The sequence below is a fragment of the Homo sapiens genome, chromosome 19 (genome assembly GCF_000001405.40).
Source record: "Homo sapiens chromosome 19, GRCh38.p14 Primary Assembly".
Classification (NCBI taxonomy): Eukaryota; Metazoa; Chordata; class Mammalia; order Primates; family Hominidae; genus Homo; species Homo sapiens.
Genome location: NC_000019.10, coordinates 47,844,340 through 47,862,343, shown reverse-complemented (window position 1 = coordinate 47,862,343; position 18,004 = coordinate 47,844,340). Strand labels below are relative to the sequence as shown.

At 50.4% G+C, this 18,004-nt stretch overlaps 1 protein-coding gene across 3 annotated transcripts, besides 2 other annotated features; it reads right to left on the bottom strand.

Annotated features, from left to right (window-relative positions):
* Positions 1–622: 622 nt before the first annotated feature.
* Positions 623–3,109, bottom strand: TPRX2 (tetrapeptide repeat homeobox 2). 3 transcript variants are annotated; one of them, NM_001397347.2, is made up of 3 exons: positions 3,073–3,109; positions 2,062–2,231; positions 623–1,542 (listed from the first exon to the last, which is right to left on the bottom strand). In NM_001397347.2, the coding sequence occupies exons 1-3, from the start codon at positions 3,095–3,097 to the stop codon at positions 832–834; spliced, it is 906 nt and encodes a 301-aa protein (NP_001384276.1). In that variant the 5' UTR covers positions 3,098–3,109; the 3' UTR covers positions 623–831. The 3 variants fall into 3 exon arrangements, with proteins under 3 accessions (NP_001384276.1, NP_001384278.1, NP_001384277.1); NM_001397349.2 differs by having other exon boundaries at positions 623–938; NM_001397348.2 differs by having other exon boundaries at positions 2,062–2,136.
* Positions 11,641–12,444: an enhancer, noted in NCBI's record as "OCT4-NANOG-H3K27ac hESC enhancer chr19:48353157-48353960 (GRCh37/hg19 assembly coordinates)". NCBI's record gives its function as "activates a minimal SCP1, AML or CMV promoter by ChIP-STARR-seq in naive and primed H9 embryonic stem cells {active_cell/tissue: H9 hESC(naive and primed)}" and the evidence as "EXISTENCE:reporter gene assay evidence [ECO:0000049][PMID:30033119]".
* Positions 12,445–13,247: an enhancer, noted in NCBI's record as "OCT4-NANOG-H3K27ac hESC enhancer chr19:48352354-48353156 (GRCh37/hg19 assembly coordinates)". NCBI's record gives its function as "activates a minimal SCP1, AML or CMV promoter by ChIP-STARR-seq in naive and primed H9 embryonic stem cells {active_cell/tissue: H9 hESC(naive and primed)}" and the evidence as "EXISTENCE:reporter gene assay evidence [ECO:0000049][PMID:30033119]".

Genomic DNA, 18,004 nt, shown 5'->3' with positions numbered 1-18,004 from the left:
TAATCCCAGCACTTTGGGAGGCTGAGGCAGGCGGAACACTTTGAGGTCAGGAGTTCAAGACCAGCCTGGCCAACATGATGAAACCCCATCTCTACTAAAAATACAACAATTAGCCAGGCACGGTGGTGGGCACCTGTAGTCCCAGCTACTCAGGAGGCTGAGACTCTAGAGAATCACTTGAACCCAGGAAGCAGAGGCCGCAGTGAGCCAAGATCGTGCCACTGCACGATAGCCTGGGTGGCAGAGCAAGGCTTTGACTCAAAAAAAAAAAATTATAAACATTTGTAAAGAAATCAACTACAAAAAATGGGCCAAAAAGACCATGAATAGTCACTATTTAATAAAAATGAGAAAATATTCAAAAAAAAAAACGAAAAATAGTCACTATTTGAAAATGCCTAATACCCATATGAGAATTTCTCAATCTCTCAATCATCAGGGAAATGGATATTACAACCACAACAAAACCACAAGTCACTGGATCGACAAACATTAAAAAGTCTCACAAGCCTCAGTGTTGGGGAGGACATTGACCAGAAGGAGGGCTGGGAAAAGCCCTTAACAAAGCTCTCAAGCGGCATCCACTAATGCCAAACATCCCAGTGAGCAGCGACTCCAGTCTCAGCAGAGAAACGCTCAGGCTCAATTCAAATGACAGGCAGGCACATTCACAGCAGAGCCACCTGTGATGGCTGCACAGTGAAGACAGCAAATGTCCACCTGCAGCAGGGTGGGTAAAGGGTGATGCATTCACTGCAGAAAGTCACCAGCAGTGTAGATCAGCCACTCCAGGCCCTCTGGGATCTGAAGAACTTTGCAGGCACAGGCCCCCTATAAATCCAGTAATGACCTGGGGACTGAGTGATTTTTGTCCACGAAGCCATCCTCCTCTTTGTACTGAGACGTCGTGGTGGAGAGTGAGGATTCCTCGAACCGGTCTAGGAGCGGGAGCAGCTTGGTGAAGTCAGGGTATAACTGGGTGTCTGGCGACAAGTTGGAGGCATAGGGGCTCTGAGGCCACAAGGCGCCTGGGGCTGGGGTTGGGAGTGATCCTGGGCCTGGCATCAGGGTTCGGCCTAGGACTGGGTCTGGGATTGGGCCTGGGCAAGAGATGGGGGCTGGTATTGGACCGGGGATCGAGACTGACAGTGGGCCTGACATTGGGCCTAAATTCGGGGCTGGGCCTGGGACTGGGCCTGGGATCTGGGCTGGGCCTGGGATAGGGGCTGGGATTGGGCCAGGGCCTGGAGCCGGGACAGCCTTGAGGCCCTCCTGTGTTCCACACTCAGGGCCACCCCAGGTCCGGGGGAGGCTGTAGATCTTCGGTTCTGCTGCTGGGAGGACTCCCCAGGGGCCCGGCTGAGGGGAGATCCAGGAACCCCTGCCCTGCGGGAACTCAGGACCCCCAGGGAAGGAGGCAGCGGCTACAGGGACTAGGGGCGCAGCGCGGGCTCCTCGGCCTCTCTGCCCAGGGACGCGCTGGGGCTGCTGCTGGAGCCGCCGCTCCCGAGCTAGTTTGGCGCGGCGATTCTTGAACCACACCTGGGGGGCAGAGGGGACAGGGAGAAGGTGTGAAGGAGGGACTCGCGCGGCCCGGGTGAGCCGCTCGGGGGCGGCGCCGGCCTCAAAACTCTCCCGGTGTTCACCCCCACCCCGCACCCACCATATGAGGGCCCCCGGCTCCCAGGCCTGGAGAAGGGAGGGAAGAGGGAGGGGAAAGTAGGGGGAGGAGGGTGGGGTGGGAGGGGAGGAGCCGGGTCTGCCGCCCAGGTGCCCGGGGGGCCAGGGAGGGTTCCAGGGGAGGGACCGCGGGTTCTCACGGGTGCCTGAGGTCCGGGCACCGGGAGACCCCGTGGGGGACAGCCTGGGCCGATCATGTGGGCGAGTTTGGGCTAGCATAGAGTTGGAACAGGACTCAGGATGCAGCCCGGGTCTACACTGGCGGGACCCCTTGCGTGGCAGGGCGGGAGGTGGTCGGGCGGGCCAGGCCCCGGTGAGTGACAGCGGTGGGGAGGCTCCTTGGGGTGACTGGGGCGGGCGGGGTGGGGGTGGGGGTCAGACCTGCAGCTGTTGCTCCCTGAGGCTGAGCATCTCCGCCAGATTCAGTCGCTGGTCGTAGTTCGGGTACTGGTCCTTCTGAAAGTAAAATTCTAGCACTTTCTGCTGGCTTTCAGTGTAGACCGTGCGCTCCTGCCGCTGTCTCCTTGGAGGGTCCAGGGCCAGGGGAGGGCCTGGGGGTGGGAGGGAAACAGGTCACAGAAACCCCCAGGCAGCCCCCAGCCCCCCTAGGGACCCCGTCCCCTGCGCCAGGCCAGGAGCCCAGGCAGTGTGGGCTGGGGCGGCACCGCGGATAGCAGCCTGGTATCCAGACCAGACCTTGCACCTCTCTGGGCCTCAGGGTCCACATCTAGGAAATGGGCGCGATAACAGCTCCTGGGAAGGCAGGCAGCGTAGGCGCCTCACCTCGGAGCAGACGGGGCTGCCTCAGGCCTGCTCAGCCCTCCCCAGCTGCCCCGTCCCCTCCCATCCAAGGGTTATAGGGACCCTGACACTTGCAGGGGAGCCGCCACCTGCCCAGTCCTCTGCTCCACTCAACTGCATGGTTTAATTTCTTTCCTTCTTTCTTTTTCTTGGAGGGGATCTCGCTCTGTCACCCAGGCTGGAGTGCAGTGATGTGATCACGGCTCAAGTCAGCCTCCACTTCCTGGGCTCAAGGAACCCCCCGCCTTAGTCTCCCGAGTAGCTGGGACCACAGGTGTGCACCACGACCCCTGGGTAATTTTTGTATTTTTGCTAAAGACGGGTCTCCACTATGTTGGCTCGGCTGGTTTCAGAGTCCCGGGCTCAAGTGATCCTCCCACCTTGGCTTCCCAAAGAGCTGGGATCACAGGCGTGAGACTCTGCGCCCAGCTGCATGATTTTTCATTTCCCAGACACCACTAAGTTCTCCCCCGTCTGCAGGACAGGAAGCCGCCCGCACAGGCCCAGCCCTTCTCTGGCTGCCCAGATTTGCACTCTGCAGCCTCAGCCACAGGATCAGCCCAGGCCCCTCACACCTCTGTCCCTGCTCACCTTGGAGATGACCAGGGTCTTGCATCCTGAGTCCTGATCTGTTCCCAAACACAAGTGTGTACTGACAAGGGCTTGGCTCTTAAATCACTTCTCTGCTGTGCCCACCCTGGCCCACCCTGCCAGGACCCTCCGTTTCCCACCCTGCCCTGCAGTCCCGCCCCCTGGAGGAGTTGAATGGTGGATTAATCCCTCATCACTGATCAGGTACTGCCTGCTGAGCTGTGCTAGGAGCTGGGGAACCTCAGTGGACAACACAGCCTTGGTTTCACCCTCATGGGCCCTAGCCCAGGCGAGGTGGTATTCCACATGGGATCGGGGGAGTCAACATCATGACCTGTGGTTGGGGTCCCCATCTCAGGAGAGGCACCGCCAGCCAGCCCCCAGGAGTCATCCTTATTCCTTCCCAGGGCTGGGGCCCCACATGATCAATGCCAGCGAGTCTACCCACTCCTCCCGGCTCCCGGGCTGCCCGCCTTGTCCAGTCACCATCCCTCTCTCCTGGATGACCCCACAGCCTCCTCTTTGGTCCTTTGAGGCCACTCTGGCCCCTACTAGTCATTCTTGAAGTTTCCTGCTCCCCCAACCAGGAGGGGACACAGGTCTGATGGACATTTCCATGGACTGCTACTGATGTATGCAGGGGACCCATTACCTTGGTTCACACAAGTCAGGTCCCTCAGAGATGCATCTGCTGTGTCAGACCCCTGGCTGCCCTCATCTCCTCATAGCAGGACCCACATGGGTTCAGGGGTCAAGGAGATTGACAAGGCTCATGATCCAGGGAGCTAAAAATGACTCATGCAAGGCTGGGCGCGGTGACTCACGCCTGTAATCCTAGCACTTTGGGAGGCCGAGGCGGGCAGATCGCCTGAGGTCAGGAGTTTGAGACCAGCCTGGCTAACATGGCAGAACGCCGTCTCTACTAAAACTACAAAAAGAATAGCCGGGCCTGGTGGCAGGCACCTGTAATCCCAGCTACTTGGGAGGTTGAGACAAGAGAATCACTTGAACCTGAGAGGCAGAGGTTGCAGTGCAGCCTGGGTGACAGAGGGAGACTCCGGCCCCCTCCCAAAAAAAAAGAAAAAGAAATGACTCATGCAACCAATTTCAAAATTCAATAAAACGTAGACATTGTTACCACGGGCCTCGCTCATTGTTTTCACCTGCTACTTAGAGTTCTATTGTAGAAAGCAGCATCCCCAGCAATGATTCCTCATTGCACACATTGTCCGGCTTCATCTACAGGACATGCTGGGAACACAGTAGTGACCACAGAGATTTTGCACCGTGGCTATTTATTTGGCCAATAAAGACATAAGCAGATGAACAAGCTCACTGGTACTATTTTGTGAAGATAGACATTTAAATATAAGAAAGTTCTGCCGGGCGCAGTGGCTCACGCTTGTAATCCCAGCACTTTGGAAGGCCGAGGTGGGTGGATCACCTGAGGTAGGGAGTTCGAGACCAGCCTGACCAACATAGACAAACCCCATCTCTACTAAATATACAAAATTAGCTGGGCATGGTGGCACATGCCTGTAATCCCAGCTACTCGGGAGGCTGAGGCAGGAGAATTGCTTGAACCCAGGAGGTGGAGGTTGTGATGAGCCAAGATCGTGCCATTGCACCCCAGCCTGGGTAACAATAGTGAAACTCTGTCTCAAAATAAATAAATAAATAAATATAAACTGAAACAAAACAAATAGTGGCTGGGCATGGTGGCTCATGCATGTAATCCCAGGGCTTTGGGAGTCAAGGGGGGAAGATCACTTGAGGCCAGGAGTTCGAGACCAGCCTGGGCAACATAGCGAGACCTTATCGCTACAAAATATATTTTAAAAAAAAACAAAAAACTAGCCAGGTGTGGTGGTATGCACCTGTAGTCCCAGCTACTTGGGCTGCTGAGGGGGGTGGATCGCTTGAGCCCAGGAATTCGAGGCTGCAGTGAGCCATGATCAAACCACTGCACTCCAGCCTGGGCGACAGAGTAGAGACCCTGTCTTGGAAATAGATAAATAAATAAATTATAAAACAAATAGATGGTATGTTTACAAGTTCCCTGCACGCTCTTAAAAGGTTGCTTAGTATCTCACTGTGGCATTCTTCCATCATTGTATCTATATTCTGCTTCCTTTCTGGAAACATTTTACCATAATTGCACATTTTGTTCGGCTTTTAGGTGGCTGGGAACACATTATTCACCAAAGCAGATGATGGCCCTGCTGTCAACAGGAATGATCTCACAGTTTTCTTGGTCTATAAGATGTGAGTAGATGGTCCCCCTCTCTATAATTTCTAAAATAAATTAAATGTAAAACTTTGCATATTTGAGGCCAGGCGTGGTGGCTCGTGATTGTAATCCCAGCACTTTGGGAGGCTGAGGCGGGCGGATCAAGAGGTCAGGAGTTTGAGACCAGCCTGGCCAACATAGTGAAACCCCATCTCTACAAAAAAATACAAAAAAATTAGCTGGGCGTGGTGGCGGGCGCCTGTAACCCCAGCTACTTGGGAGGCAGAGGCAGGAGAGTTGCTTGAACCCAGGAGGCAGAGCTTGCAGTGAGTGGAGATCACAGCATTGCACTCCAGCCCAGGCGACAATTCGAGACTCTGTGAAAAAAAAAAAAAAAAAACTTTGTGTATTCGATTGGCAAAGATTAAGACGAGAGACTCTAGCTGGGCTTCGTAGGTGAACGGGTAGGGAATCTGATTATTTCCCCAGAAATGGTTTTGGAGCATAGGTTGTTGTTTGTTTTTGTTTTTGTTTTGTATTTTTGGTTTTGAGACAGGGTCCTGCTCTGTTGCCCAGACTGGAGTACAGTGGCAACAGGTCAAGGTCACTGCAGCCTTGACCTCATGGGCTCAAGCAATCCTCCCACCTCAGCCTCCCAAGTTGCTGGGACTACAGGCACCCACCACCATGCCCGGCTAATTTCTTTTATTTTTTGTAGAGACAGGGTTTTGCTCTGTTGCCCAGCCTGATCTCCAGCTCCCAGGCTCAGGCGATCCTCCTGCCTCAACCTCCCAAATTGCTGGGATTGTAAGTGTGAACCACCATGCCCAGGTGGTTGGTTTTTAAGACTGACTTGGTGAAACCTGTCAATGTTGATCAGCTGAAGACCATCAGAGGGACACCAGTAGTCAAGCAAAGTTGGGTTTATTGTCTTGTTGCAAGAAGGAGGAACACAAAGGGAACCTTTGGGGCCTCTCAGTAAGAGGGTGTTTGAAAGGATGTTTTAGATTGATGTGAAAGGAATTGTGGCTTTTGCCCTTGCTTTTTTTTTTTTTTTTTTTTTTTGAGACGGTGTCTGGCTCTGTTGCCGGCGCGATCTTGGCTCATTGCAGCCTCTGCCTCCCGGATTCAAGCGATTCTCCTACCTCAGCCTCCCGAGTAGCTGGGATTACAGGCGCCCACCACCACACCAAGCTAATTTTTGTATTTTTAGTAGAGATGGGGTTTTGCCATATTGACTAGGCTGGTTTCAAACTCCTGACCTCAAGTGATCCGCCCACCTTGGCCTCCCAAGGTGCTGGGATTACAGGCATGAGCCACCGCGCCCGGCTGCCCTTGCTTTTAATGGCAAATGTTATAGGATTTGAGCTTGTTTGATAATTTTGGAAAGGATTCAAAACAGAGTGACTTTTATACCTAAAAGAATGCAAACTAAAAAAAATGTTTAAAAACAGGAAAAAAAAAAGAATTTAAATCAGGGAAGTGAACAAATATTTGTGCACTAATGTTCATAGCAGCATCTTTTACAATAGCCAAAAGGCTGAAACAACCCAAATGTCTATCAAATGAATGAACAAAATGTGGTCTATCCATGCAATGGAATATTCTTCAGCCTTAAGAAAGAAGTTCTGGCACAGGCTACAACCTCCATGAACCTAGAGAGTATTTATGCTAAATGAAATAAGCCAGGACAAATATTGTATGAGTCCACTCCCAAGAAATATCTAACATAGACAAATTCATAGAGACAGAAAATAAGTTAGAGGTTCCCAAGGGCTGGGGATGGGGAGAATGAGGAGTTCAATATTTGATAGGTACAAAGTTTCAGTTTGGGGCCGGGTGCCCTGGCTCACGCCTGTAATCCCAGCACTTTGGGAAGCTGAGGCGAGTGGATTGCTTGCCCAGGAGTTCCAGACCAACCTGGGCAACATGGTGAAACTCCGTCTCTACTAAAAATACAAAAATTAGCCAGGCGTGGTGGCGGGCACCTGTAATCCCAGCTACTCGGGAGGCTGAGGCAGAAGGATCACTTGAGCCCGGGAGGTAGAGGTTGCAGTGAGCCAAGGTAGCACCACTGCACTCCAGCCTGGGCGACAGAGCGAGATCCTGTCTCTAAAAACATAAAAGTAAATAAATAAAGGTTAGGATGGTAAATTGTATGTTATGCCTATTTTACTGCAGTTTTAACAAATAAGAAAAGTGGTTTTGCTCTGGGTTCGATGCTGTCAGGAAAAGAGGGTCACTCTGATTCTCTTACCTTGAAAGTGAGGAGGATGAGGAGTGCCCAGAACTAGGGTTTTTGTCTAGAAACAGTGTCACTTGTATTCGACAGAATAGGAGGACACGGATCTCTTTTGTGGTTTGAACAACATGTTTTTGTGGTTTGAACTCTCTGGGTTCAGACATGATTACAGAGAGCTCAGGGCAACACAAAGAATAACCTTGTCCGTTTGTCCTTGTTTCTTTGTTTAAATCCAGTTCTTGCACCATGCATTGTGTTTTATGAAATCCTCTCTTTTTAATAATGTTTATCTGTTTACTTATTTATTTATTTATTGAGATGGAGTTTCACTCTTGTCACCCAGGCTGGAGTCCAGTGGTGCGATCTTGGCTCACTGCAACCTCTGTCTCCTGGGTTCAAGCGATTCTCCTGCCTCAGCCTCCCGAGTAGCTGGGATTACACGCACCCGCCACCACGCCCGGCTAATTTTTGTATTTTTAGTAGAGATGGGGTTTCGCCATGTTGGCCAGGCTGGTCTCGAACTCCCAGCCTCAGGTGATCCGCACGCCTCAGCCTCCCAACGTACTGGGATTACAGGCATGAGCCACCACACCCGGCCTGAAGTCCCTTCTATCCAAAGAGAGAGCATGGAGGCCTGGCTGTGAGTGCAAGGCCAGCCCCTGGCCATTGGGGGCTGCTTTTCTCTTTCTGATATTTCACCAACTCCCTTGTACTGAACATTCTGGGCACAGTGTCTCAGAGCAGCTGGGAAGCCCTGGAGGTCCTCATCATTATCAGCTGTCTGACCTTGGGCAAAAGCCTTCCTCCCTCCAGGATCAGTTTCCCCACCTATACAATGGGCCTGGGTGGATTCAGGCATCTCTTATCATGACATCTGCTCAGGAGGGGACCTGGAACAGAGAACTCTCCCTAATCCCTCCCCTGGCTCCCCTGGTTTGGAGAATCCTCCCCAGTCCCTGCAAGTTTGTCCCCAGGGCAATGTCACTAGTGGCCCTGCCTCACCTCACCTCCTCCCTGCAAGAGATACTGATCAAACGTTATTACCTTGAAAACCAGCCTCCTCCCCAGCCCCCACCAATGCACCAAGTTTAAGCCAGCAATCTTCTTTTTTAATTTTTTGTTTTCTGTTTCTTGGTTTTTTGAGACAGAGTCTCCCTCTCTTGCCCAGGCTGGAGTGCAGTGGCGCAATCTCAGCTCACTGCAACTTCCGCCTCCTGAGTTCAAGCCATTCTCCTGCCTTAGCCTCCCGAGTACCTGGGATTACAGGCGGCCACCACCATGCCTGGCAAATTTTTGTATTTTTAGTAGAGATAGGATTTCACCACATTGGCCAAGCTGGTCTCAAACTCCTGACCTCAGGTGATCTGCCCACCTCAGCCTCCCAAAGTGCTGGGGTTACAGGAATGAGCCACTGCGCCCAGCCATAAGCCAGCAATTTTCAAGGTCTAGTTGGCATTAGAATCCCCTGAAGAGCTCCTTAAAACCCAGATCCCTGGGTCTCACCCCTAGAATTTCAGTTTCTGATTAGCAGGTGATGCTGACGCCACTGAGAAGCAGCAGGAACCACACTTTGAGAGTGGCTATGGTCAGCTCAGCGGCAAGCCTCTCTATCCACCTCAGCCCCACACCTGGCCTCTGTCTCAGAGCTTGCCTTGTTTAGGGACAGGAAGAGGGCGGCAAGCCAGGGCAGGAAGGATGGAGACTTGAGCCAGGGCCGGATGGCATCAGACCTTGGAGGAGCTCAAATGTTATTCCCAGAAAACAAAATAAGAGAGAGGTGCAGAAGTAGGAAGACATCATGAGCTTGGGAAGCCGGGCGTCGCGGGGGGGCGCAGCGGGGAGAAGAAAAAAAAATAGGAAGACAGGCACGGTAGCTAACGCCTGTAATCCCAACACTTTGGGAGGCCAAGGCAGGCAGATCACAAGGTCAGGAGTTTGAGACCAGCCCGGCCAACATGGTGAAACCCCATCTCTACTAAAAATACAAAAATTAGTCTGGCGTGGGTAGCAGGTGCCTGTAATCTCAGCTACTCGGGAGGCTGAGGCAGGAGAATCACTTGAACGTGGGAGGCGGAGGTGGCAGTGAGCTGAGATCGTGCCATTGCATTCCAGCCTAAGTGACAGAATGAGACTCTATTTAAAAAAAGAAAGAAAGAAAGAGAGGGAGAGAGAAAGGAAGGATGGAAGGAAGGAAGGAAGGGAGAGAGAGAAAGAAAGTAAAAGAAAGAAACAGAGAGAGAAAGAAAGAGAAGAAAAGAGAAGAGAAAGAAAAGAAGGAAAAGAAAGAAAGGGAGGCCAGGCGCAATGCCTCACACCTGTAATCCCAGCACTTTGGGAGGCTGAGGCAGGGGGTTGTGGGGATCGCTTGAGCCCAGGAGTTTGAGACCAGCCTGGGCAACAAAGTGAGACCCCATCTCTACCAGAAACACAAAAATTAGCCGGGCGTGGTGGTGCATGCCTATAGTCCCAGCTACTCGGGAGGCTGAGGTGGGAGGACCATTTGAGTGTGGGAGGTCAAGGCTGCAGTAAGCTGTGGTGGCATCACTGCACTCCAGCCAGGGCAACTCAGCAAGAACCTGTCTCAAAAAATTAAAAAAATAAAAATAGAAAGCACAGAAGTTTCTTGAACCATGCTTGAGGAACAAAGTAAAGAGATAAGAAAGTGTAGAAACTGAGCCGGGTGCAGTGGCTCACGCCTGTGATACCAGCACTTTGGGAGGCCGAGGAGGGCAGATCACCTGAGGTCAGGAGTTTGAGACCAGCCTGGCCAACATGGCGAAACCCCGTCTCTACTAAAAATACAAAAATTAGCCGGGTGTGGTGGCACACGCCTGTAATCCCAACTACTCAGGAGGCTGAGGCAGGAGGATCTCTTGAACCCGAGAGGCAGAGGTTGCAGTGAGCCGAGACCACGCCATTGCCCTCCAGCCTGGGTGACAGAGCGAGACTCTGTCTCAAAAAAATAAAAATAAAAATAAACATAATATGAAAGTGTAGAAATTGGAAAACAAGACATAGGCAGTTTTGCTCCCAAATGCACAGCAGGCATGAAGGGTGACACACAGGAAGCTGCTGAGAATGGTAGCCCCATGGAAGGGCCGCCATGGGGCTGGGGACAATTTTCATGGCATGCACTGTGAATTCCCCACGGTGCAGGGTTTTTAACGATGCAAAATATAAGTAAAATAGGCCAGGCGCAGTGGCTCATGCCTGTAATCCCAGCACTTTGGGAGGCCAAGGTGGGCGGATCGCTTGAGGTCAGGAGTTTGAGACCAGCCTGGCCAACAAGGCGAAATCCTGTCTGCGCTAAAAATACAAAAATTAGCTACACGTGGTGACGTGCACCTGTAGTCCCAGCTACTTGGGTGGCTGAGGGAGGGGAATCACTTGAACCCAGGAGGCAGAGGTTGTAGTGAGTCCTGATCGTGCCACTGCACTCCAGCCTTGGTAACAGAATGAGACTCCATCTAAAAAAAAAAAAGTAATAAAATAAAATAAGGTCTATCCTGTTTTTAGAAAATTGGTTCCTTTCTCTGATCTCTCTAGACCACATTCCCTTTGTCTTGGGAATGGAGTTTCTTTTTCCCAAATTCATAGAAAATAGCCGCTTTTTCCTCTACTGCTCTGGGCCTCAGGTTTTCTCTGGAAAATGTCTCCTTTCTGGCCCACCTATAGGGGCACTGAAGTAAAACATTGGTTGAGGAAACTTCACAAACCAAGTGTAGTGGTGCAGTCACGGCTCATACAGCTTGGTGTTGCTGGGAATATTCTGTTTCTCACTCTGGGTAGTGATTACACAGGTGTGTCCTTCCTTCCTTCCTTCCCTCCCTCCCTTTCTCTCTCTCTCTCTTTTTTTTGAGATAAGCTCTCCCTATGTCGCTCAGGTTGGTCTCAAACTCCTGGACTCAAGCAATCCACTCTCCTCAGCCTCCCAAAGTGTTGGGATTACAGGCGTGAGCCACCGCACCCAGCCATGTATGCATTTCTGTTAGTACAATACTAGAAGTAGAATTTTGGGGTCACAGAGAAGCCATTTGTTCAAATTTTATAGATAACGCTGAACAGATTTCCAAATCGGTTTTACCAGTTTACATTTTCAGTTACTCCATATCCTCACCAAAACTTGGCATGGTCTGTCTTTTTTTGTGTGTGTTTTTGTTGTTGATGTTGTTGTTTGTTTGTTTGTTTTTGCCAGGGGTTGGGGGTGGGGAGGGGGACAGAGTCTTGCTCTGTCACCTAGGCAGGAGTGCAGTGGTGCAGTCTCGTCTCACTGCAACCTCCGCCTCCCAGGTTCAAGCGATTCTCCCACCTCAGCCCTCCAAGTAGCTGGGATTACAGGTGCCCGCCACCGTGCCTGGCTAATTTTTGTATTTTTAGTAGAGACGGGTTTTCACCCTGTTGGCCAAGCTGGTCTCAAACTCCTGGCCTCAAGTGATCTGCCCGCCTCAGCCTCCCAGAGTGCTGGGATTACAGGCTTGAGCCACCGTGCCTGGCCAGACTGTTGAGTGTTTATTCACCATTTATATATCTTCTCGGAGCACTGTCAGTTCAAGTCCTTTGCCCATTTTTAAATCAGGGTTTTTTGTTTTTTTTACTGTTGAGTTTTAGGAGTGGGTATATTCTGATTATCAATCCCTTAAAAAATGTGTGATTTCCAAATGTTTTCTCCTATTCTGTGACTTGCCTCTTTACTCTGTTGACAGTGAGGTTTTTTGTTATTTTTTTAGATGCAGGATCTCGCTCTGTCGCACAGGCTGGAGGGCAGTGGCGCGATCATGACTCACTGCAGCTTCAGACTCCTGGCCTCAAGCGATCCTCCTGCCTGGCCTCCCAAAGTGCTGAGATGACAGGTGTCGGCCTCCGTGCCCACCCGTCCCCTCACTCTGTCCTTAATTATCCCTCCCTCACAGTCATTGTCTTTCCCAGCGCCCCAGGTGCATGTCAGGAGCTGGATTCCCATGGTGTCCTTTGTATTGCAAATTGCACAGTGAGGTATGAATGTGGCCGGTGGATAACGTCCTTCAGCTCCTCCTGGCGTCTGTTTTGTCTGTTCTGTTCCCACCTAATCTCTTCCTCCACCCTGCTTTCCGTTTCTCCTCTGAAATGCATTTTCTTTCTCTCTCTCTCTCTCTCTCTCTCTCTCTCTCTCTCTCTCTCTCTCTCTCTCTCTTCTCTCTTCCACACTTTACGGAGGCTAAAACTTTGGGAGGCCAAGGCGGGTGGATCACCTGAGGTCAAGAGTTCGAGATCAGCGTGGCCAACATGGCAAAACCCCGTCTCTACTAAAAAATACAAAAATTAGCCGGGCGTGGTGGCAGACACCTGTAATCCCAGCTACTCGGTAGGCTGAGGCAAGAGAATCGCTTTAACCCGGGAGGCGGAAGTTGCAGGATTTCGCCATTACAGAGCAAGACTCCGTCTCAAAAAAAATAAATAAATAAAAAATCGTCCCGAAGTTACCCAAACAGAAGCTGCGCCCCCTTGCGGTGTGACCCCCAGGCCCATTCAGTTTACTTCCCTCCAGTGTTTTTTCATCTTTAACCTGAGAAGCACCAAGAAGGCTGAGATTGGATCCCATTTGCCTCAGGAAAGTTAATTAACCTCTCCTGATCCTTAAATCCAGGGAGGGGCACGGCCCCTCCCTCAGGGAGCTGCACCGACGTTTCAATGAGTGAAGGGGCTTAACAGTGCCTGGCACATAGGAGGCGCACCGTGAAGGGTTTAGCCGTGATTTTATCATCATTGTGTGCCCCAGGCACGAGTGCTTTTCCATGGAGGGGATAGGAGGGGAGGAGGAGGGGGCATCGTTTCGTTAAAACTCCCCAAAGTCCCCTCCCCCACGGGTCATGCGTCTGAACCTAATCCTCGCTAATTCCCCTGCCATTCTGCTGAGGCTGGGCTGTTGCCATAAGAGGATTGGAGCATTTGCTAAATTAGTCCTGGTCAGGGGCAGAGGAAACAGCTGGGGGAAGGGAGGGTGTTTGGAGACCAGGAGGGACAGACACATACGGGGGTGAGGGAAGAGACGGAGAGAGGGAACGAGGGGAGAGAATCACTCACCGTTGAGACCTAGGAAGGGGAAAACAAGAGAGAAGAGAACACGAGTGGCGGTCAGGCGCAGTGGCTTGCCCCTGTAATCCCAGCGCTTTGAGAGGCCGAGGCAGGAGGATCATTTACAGCCCAGGAGTTCAAAGCCAGACTGGGCAACATAGCAAGACCCCATCTCTACAAATGCATAAATAAAAATTCGAGAACAGGAATAAAATGAAGGACAGAAAATGGAGGGGACAGAGACCAGCAAGGAGGCTGGCCACCTGACAAGATGAATATCAAGACTGGGTCCATCCCCTCCTAGCTTGGGACCTTGGGCAGGTCACCCAGCCGCCCTCTGCCTCAGTTTCCTCATCTGTGAAATAGGGATCATAAAAATAGTATCATTCTGAGGATTAAAAGAGTTAGAACCGGCTTACACCACTGCCTGCTCAATAATTTTATTTTCTTTTCCTTCTGATTTACTAAGGTATAATTTATGTCCTATAAAATCCATTCTGTTTTTTCCCCAACTCTCTTTTTTTTTTTTTTTTTTTTTTTTTTTTGAGATAAGAGTCTCAGTGTCGCCCAGGCTGGAGTGCAGTGGCACATTCTCGGCTCACTGCAACCTCTGCCTCCCAGGTTCAAGTGATTCTCCCACCTCTGCCCTCCAAGTAGCTGGGATTACAGACACCCGTGACCACATCCAGCTAATTTTTATATTTTTAGTAGAGACGGGGTTTCACCATGTTGTCCAGGCTGGTCTCGAACTTCTGACCTCAGGTGATCCGCCCTCCTCGGCCTCCCAATGTGCTGGGATTACAGGCATGAGCCACCGCACCCAGCCTACCTGACTCCCTGTTCACTCTCTTATTGAAATACATTTGTTTTCTAGGGTGTTATAAGTTTGGGGAATTATATACAGTCCCAGAACCATCACCATAATCAAGATAGGGCACATTTCTAGCACCCCCAAAAGATCCTCATTTGTTCCTTTGCAGTAAATCTCACCAGCTGCTCCCTAGGTCCTGGCAAGCACTATCTGCTCTCTGCCCTGTATAAGTTTTATCTTTTCTAGAATCTCATAGGCATGGAATTGTACAATATTTGCTTCTTTTTTAAAAAATTTTATTTTTATTTATTTATTTCAGCAGTATTTGCTTCTTTGTTTCTGGTTTCGTTTCTTTCTTTTTTTTTTTTTTTTTAGACAGGGTCTCACTCTGTTGCCCAGGCTGGAGTACATTGGTGCAATCTCAGCTCACTCCAGTCCCAACTTCAGGGGCTCAAGCGATCCTCCCACCTTAGCACCCCAAGTAGCTGGGTCTATAGGCATGTGCCACCATACCCAGCTAATTTTTTGAATTTTTTTAGTAGAGACACGGTCTCACTATGTTGCCCAGGCTGGTCTGGAACTCCCAGGCTAAAGCGATCCTCCTCCCACCTCGGCCTCCCAAAGTGCTGGGGTTACAGGGGTGAGCCACCGTGCCCAGCCTGGATTTAATTGTCTGTCTTTCTTTTTTTTTTTTTTTTTTTTAAAGACATGGGGTCTCACTCTGTTGCCCAGGCTGGTCTTGAACTCCTGAGCTCAAGCAATCCTTCCACCTCAGTCTTCCAAAGTGCTGGAGTTTCAGGTGTGAATCACTGTGCCCAGCCCTAGTTTCTTTTCCTGGGGTATTGACTACTGGGAGTTCATTCCTTTTCATCAGTGAGGAATATCTTTTTTTTTTTTTTTTTTGAGACAGAGTCTTGCTCTGCCGCCCAGGCTGGAGTGTAGTTGCGCAATCTCAGCTCACTGCAATATCTGCCTCCTGGGTTCAAGCGATTCTTATGCCTCAGCCTCCCAAGTAGCTGGGATTACAGGCACGTGCCACCACGCTCAGCTAATTTTTGTGTTTTTAGTAGAGACAGGGTTTTTCCATGCTGGCCAGGCTGGTCTCGAACTCCTGACCTCAAGCGATCCGCCCACCTAGGCCTCCCAAAGTACTGGGATTACAGGTGTGAGCCATCGTGCCTGGCTCAGGGTATCCTTTTGTATGGATGCATCAGGGTTTGTTTCTGCCTTCACCTGCTGATGGACGTCTGGATAGTTTTCAGCTTGGGGCCATTATGACTAAAGCTGCCAGGAATAGCATAAGTACGAGTTGAGTAAAAATAATAATAATAAAGACCCAAGTACCTGGCCAACATGGTGAAACCCCGTCTCTACTAAAAATACAAAAATTAGCTGGGCATGGTGGCACGCGTCTGTAATCCCAGCTACTCGGGAGGCTGAGACAGGAGAATCACTTGAACCTGGGAGGCAGAGGTTGCAGTGAGCAGAGATCGCGCCACTGCACTCCAGCCTGGGCAGCACAGCAAGACTCCATCTCAAAATAATAATAATAATAGGTTAAGATAAACGTTTAGCAGCCGGGCGTGGTGGCTCACACCTGTAATCCCAGCACTTTGGGAGGTTGAGGCGGGTGGATCAGGAGGTCAAGAGATGGAGACCATCCTGGCCAACATGGTGAAACCCCGTCTCCACTAAAAAACACAAAAATTAGCTGGGCGTGGTGGTGCATGCCTGTAGTCCCAGCTACTCGGGAGGCTGAGGCAGGAGAATTGCTTGAACCTGGGAGGTGGAGGTTGCAGTGAGCCGAGATCGCGCCACTGCACTCTAGCCTGGTGACAGAGTGAGACTCTGTCTCAAAAAAAAAAAAAAAAAGAAAGATAAATATTTAGCATGATGATTTCAAGGTCATCCAAGTTGTGTTTATCAGTGCTTCTTCCTTTTCATGGCTGAGCAATATTCCCTTGCATGGGTAGACCTCATTTGTTTCTGTGGACAGACATTTGAATTGCTTCATCTTTTGGCCATTGTGAATCATCCTGCTATAAATTTGAGCGTACAAGTTTTTGTCTGAACACCTGCTTTCCGTTCTTTGCGGCATATACTTCAGAGCAGAATTGTAAGGTCACTATATTGCTCCAGAACATTTTCGTCATCCCAAAAGGAAACCCCATATTCATTAAGCAGTCACTCCCCATTCCACCACACAGCACCCCTCACCCCAGCCCCTGGCAGCCACTACGTTTTCTGTCTCTACGGATTTGCCTTTTCTTTTTTTTTTTTTTTTTTTGAGCCAGAGTCTCACTCTGTTGCCCAGGCTGCCAGGCTGGAGTGCAGTGCTGCGATCTCAGCTCACTGCAACCTCCACCTCTCAGGTTCAAGTGATTCTCCTGCCTCGGCCTCCCGAGTACCTTGGGTTACAGCCACACACCACCACACCCAGCTAATTTTTGTATTTTAGTAGAGATGGAGTTTCACCATGTTGGCCAGGCTGGTCTCAAACTCCTGGCCTCAAGTGATCCACCCACCTCAGCCTCTCAAAATGCTGGGATTACAGGCATGAGCCACTGTGCCTGGCTGGATTTGCCTATTCTGAATATTTCATATAATTAGGATAATACAATATATGGTCTTTGTGTCTGGCTTCTTCTGTGAATGTACTTAATGCCACTGAATTAAGTAACTTAAAATGGAAAAAATGAATTAAGAATCATGCAATGGGAAAAGTGGTACATTTTATAGTATGTGTATTTTACCACAAAATAGATAAATATTTATTGAGCTCTTACCCTGGACCCGGCTTCAGGTCCATAATTAATAGAATAACATCATTTTGTTCTCTTGAGATGGGTCTCCTTAGATGCTCCATGCTACAGGTGGGGAAATTGAGGCTGGGAGAAATGAATCACCCGAGGTCAGACGACCAGAAGAGGCTAAGCCAAGCTCGGACAGCAAGTCTGCCTGACCCTCCCTCCTGTATATAACTCCCAGTCATCCCCCAACAAAAATCTTAACCTGGGATTCAGCAACTGAGAGGAATACAGGCAGAGAGAGATGACCTAGAGGCCAGGAGCGGTGGCTCAGGCCTATAATCCCAGCACTTGCAGAGGCTGAGGGGGGTGGATCACTTGAGGTCAGGAGTTTGAGACCAGCCTGGCAAACATGGTGAAACTTCGTCTCTACTAAAAAATACAAAAATTAGCCAGGCGTGGTGGTGGACGCCTGTAAGTCTCAGCTACTTGGGAAGCTGAGGCAGGAGAATCGCTTGAGCCCAGGAGGCAGAGGTTGCAGTGAGCTGAGATCGAGCCACTGCACTCTAGCCTAGGTGACAGAGCGAGACACTGTCTCCAAAAAAAAAAAAAAAAATGACCTAGAGCTGGAAAAACAAGAACTCAGAGGTGGGCCAGTCATGGTGGTTCACACCTATAATCCCAGCACTTTGAGAGGCCGAGACAGGTGGATTGCTTGAGCCCAGGAGTTTGACACCAGCCTGGGCTGCATGGCAAAACCTTGTCTCTACTAAAAATACGAAAATTAGCCAGGTGTAGTGGCAGGCACCTGTAGTCCCAGCTACTCGGGAGGCTGATACAACAGGATCGCT

What these genes read in the sequence shown, in the direction of transcription:
- TPRX2 (NM_001397347.2), bottom strand. Translation starts at nt 3,097, where the DNA reads ATGCAAGACCCTGGTCATCTCCAAG. An exon ending in AGACCCTGGTCATCTCCAAG is followed by an intron (nt 2,232 to 3,072) that starts GTGAGCAGGGAC and finishes TCCCACCCCCAG; the next exon opens with GCCCTCCCCTGGCCCTGGAC. An exon ending in TCAGGGAGCAACAGCTGCAG is followed by an intron (nt 1,543 to 2,061) that starts GTCTGACCCCCA and finishes TCTGCCCCCCAG; the next exon opens with GTGTGGTTCAAGAATCGCCG.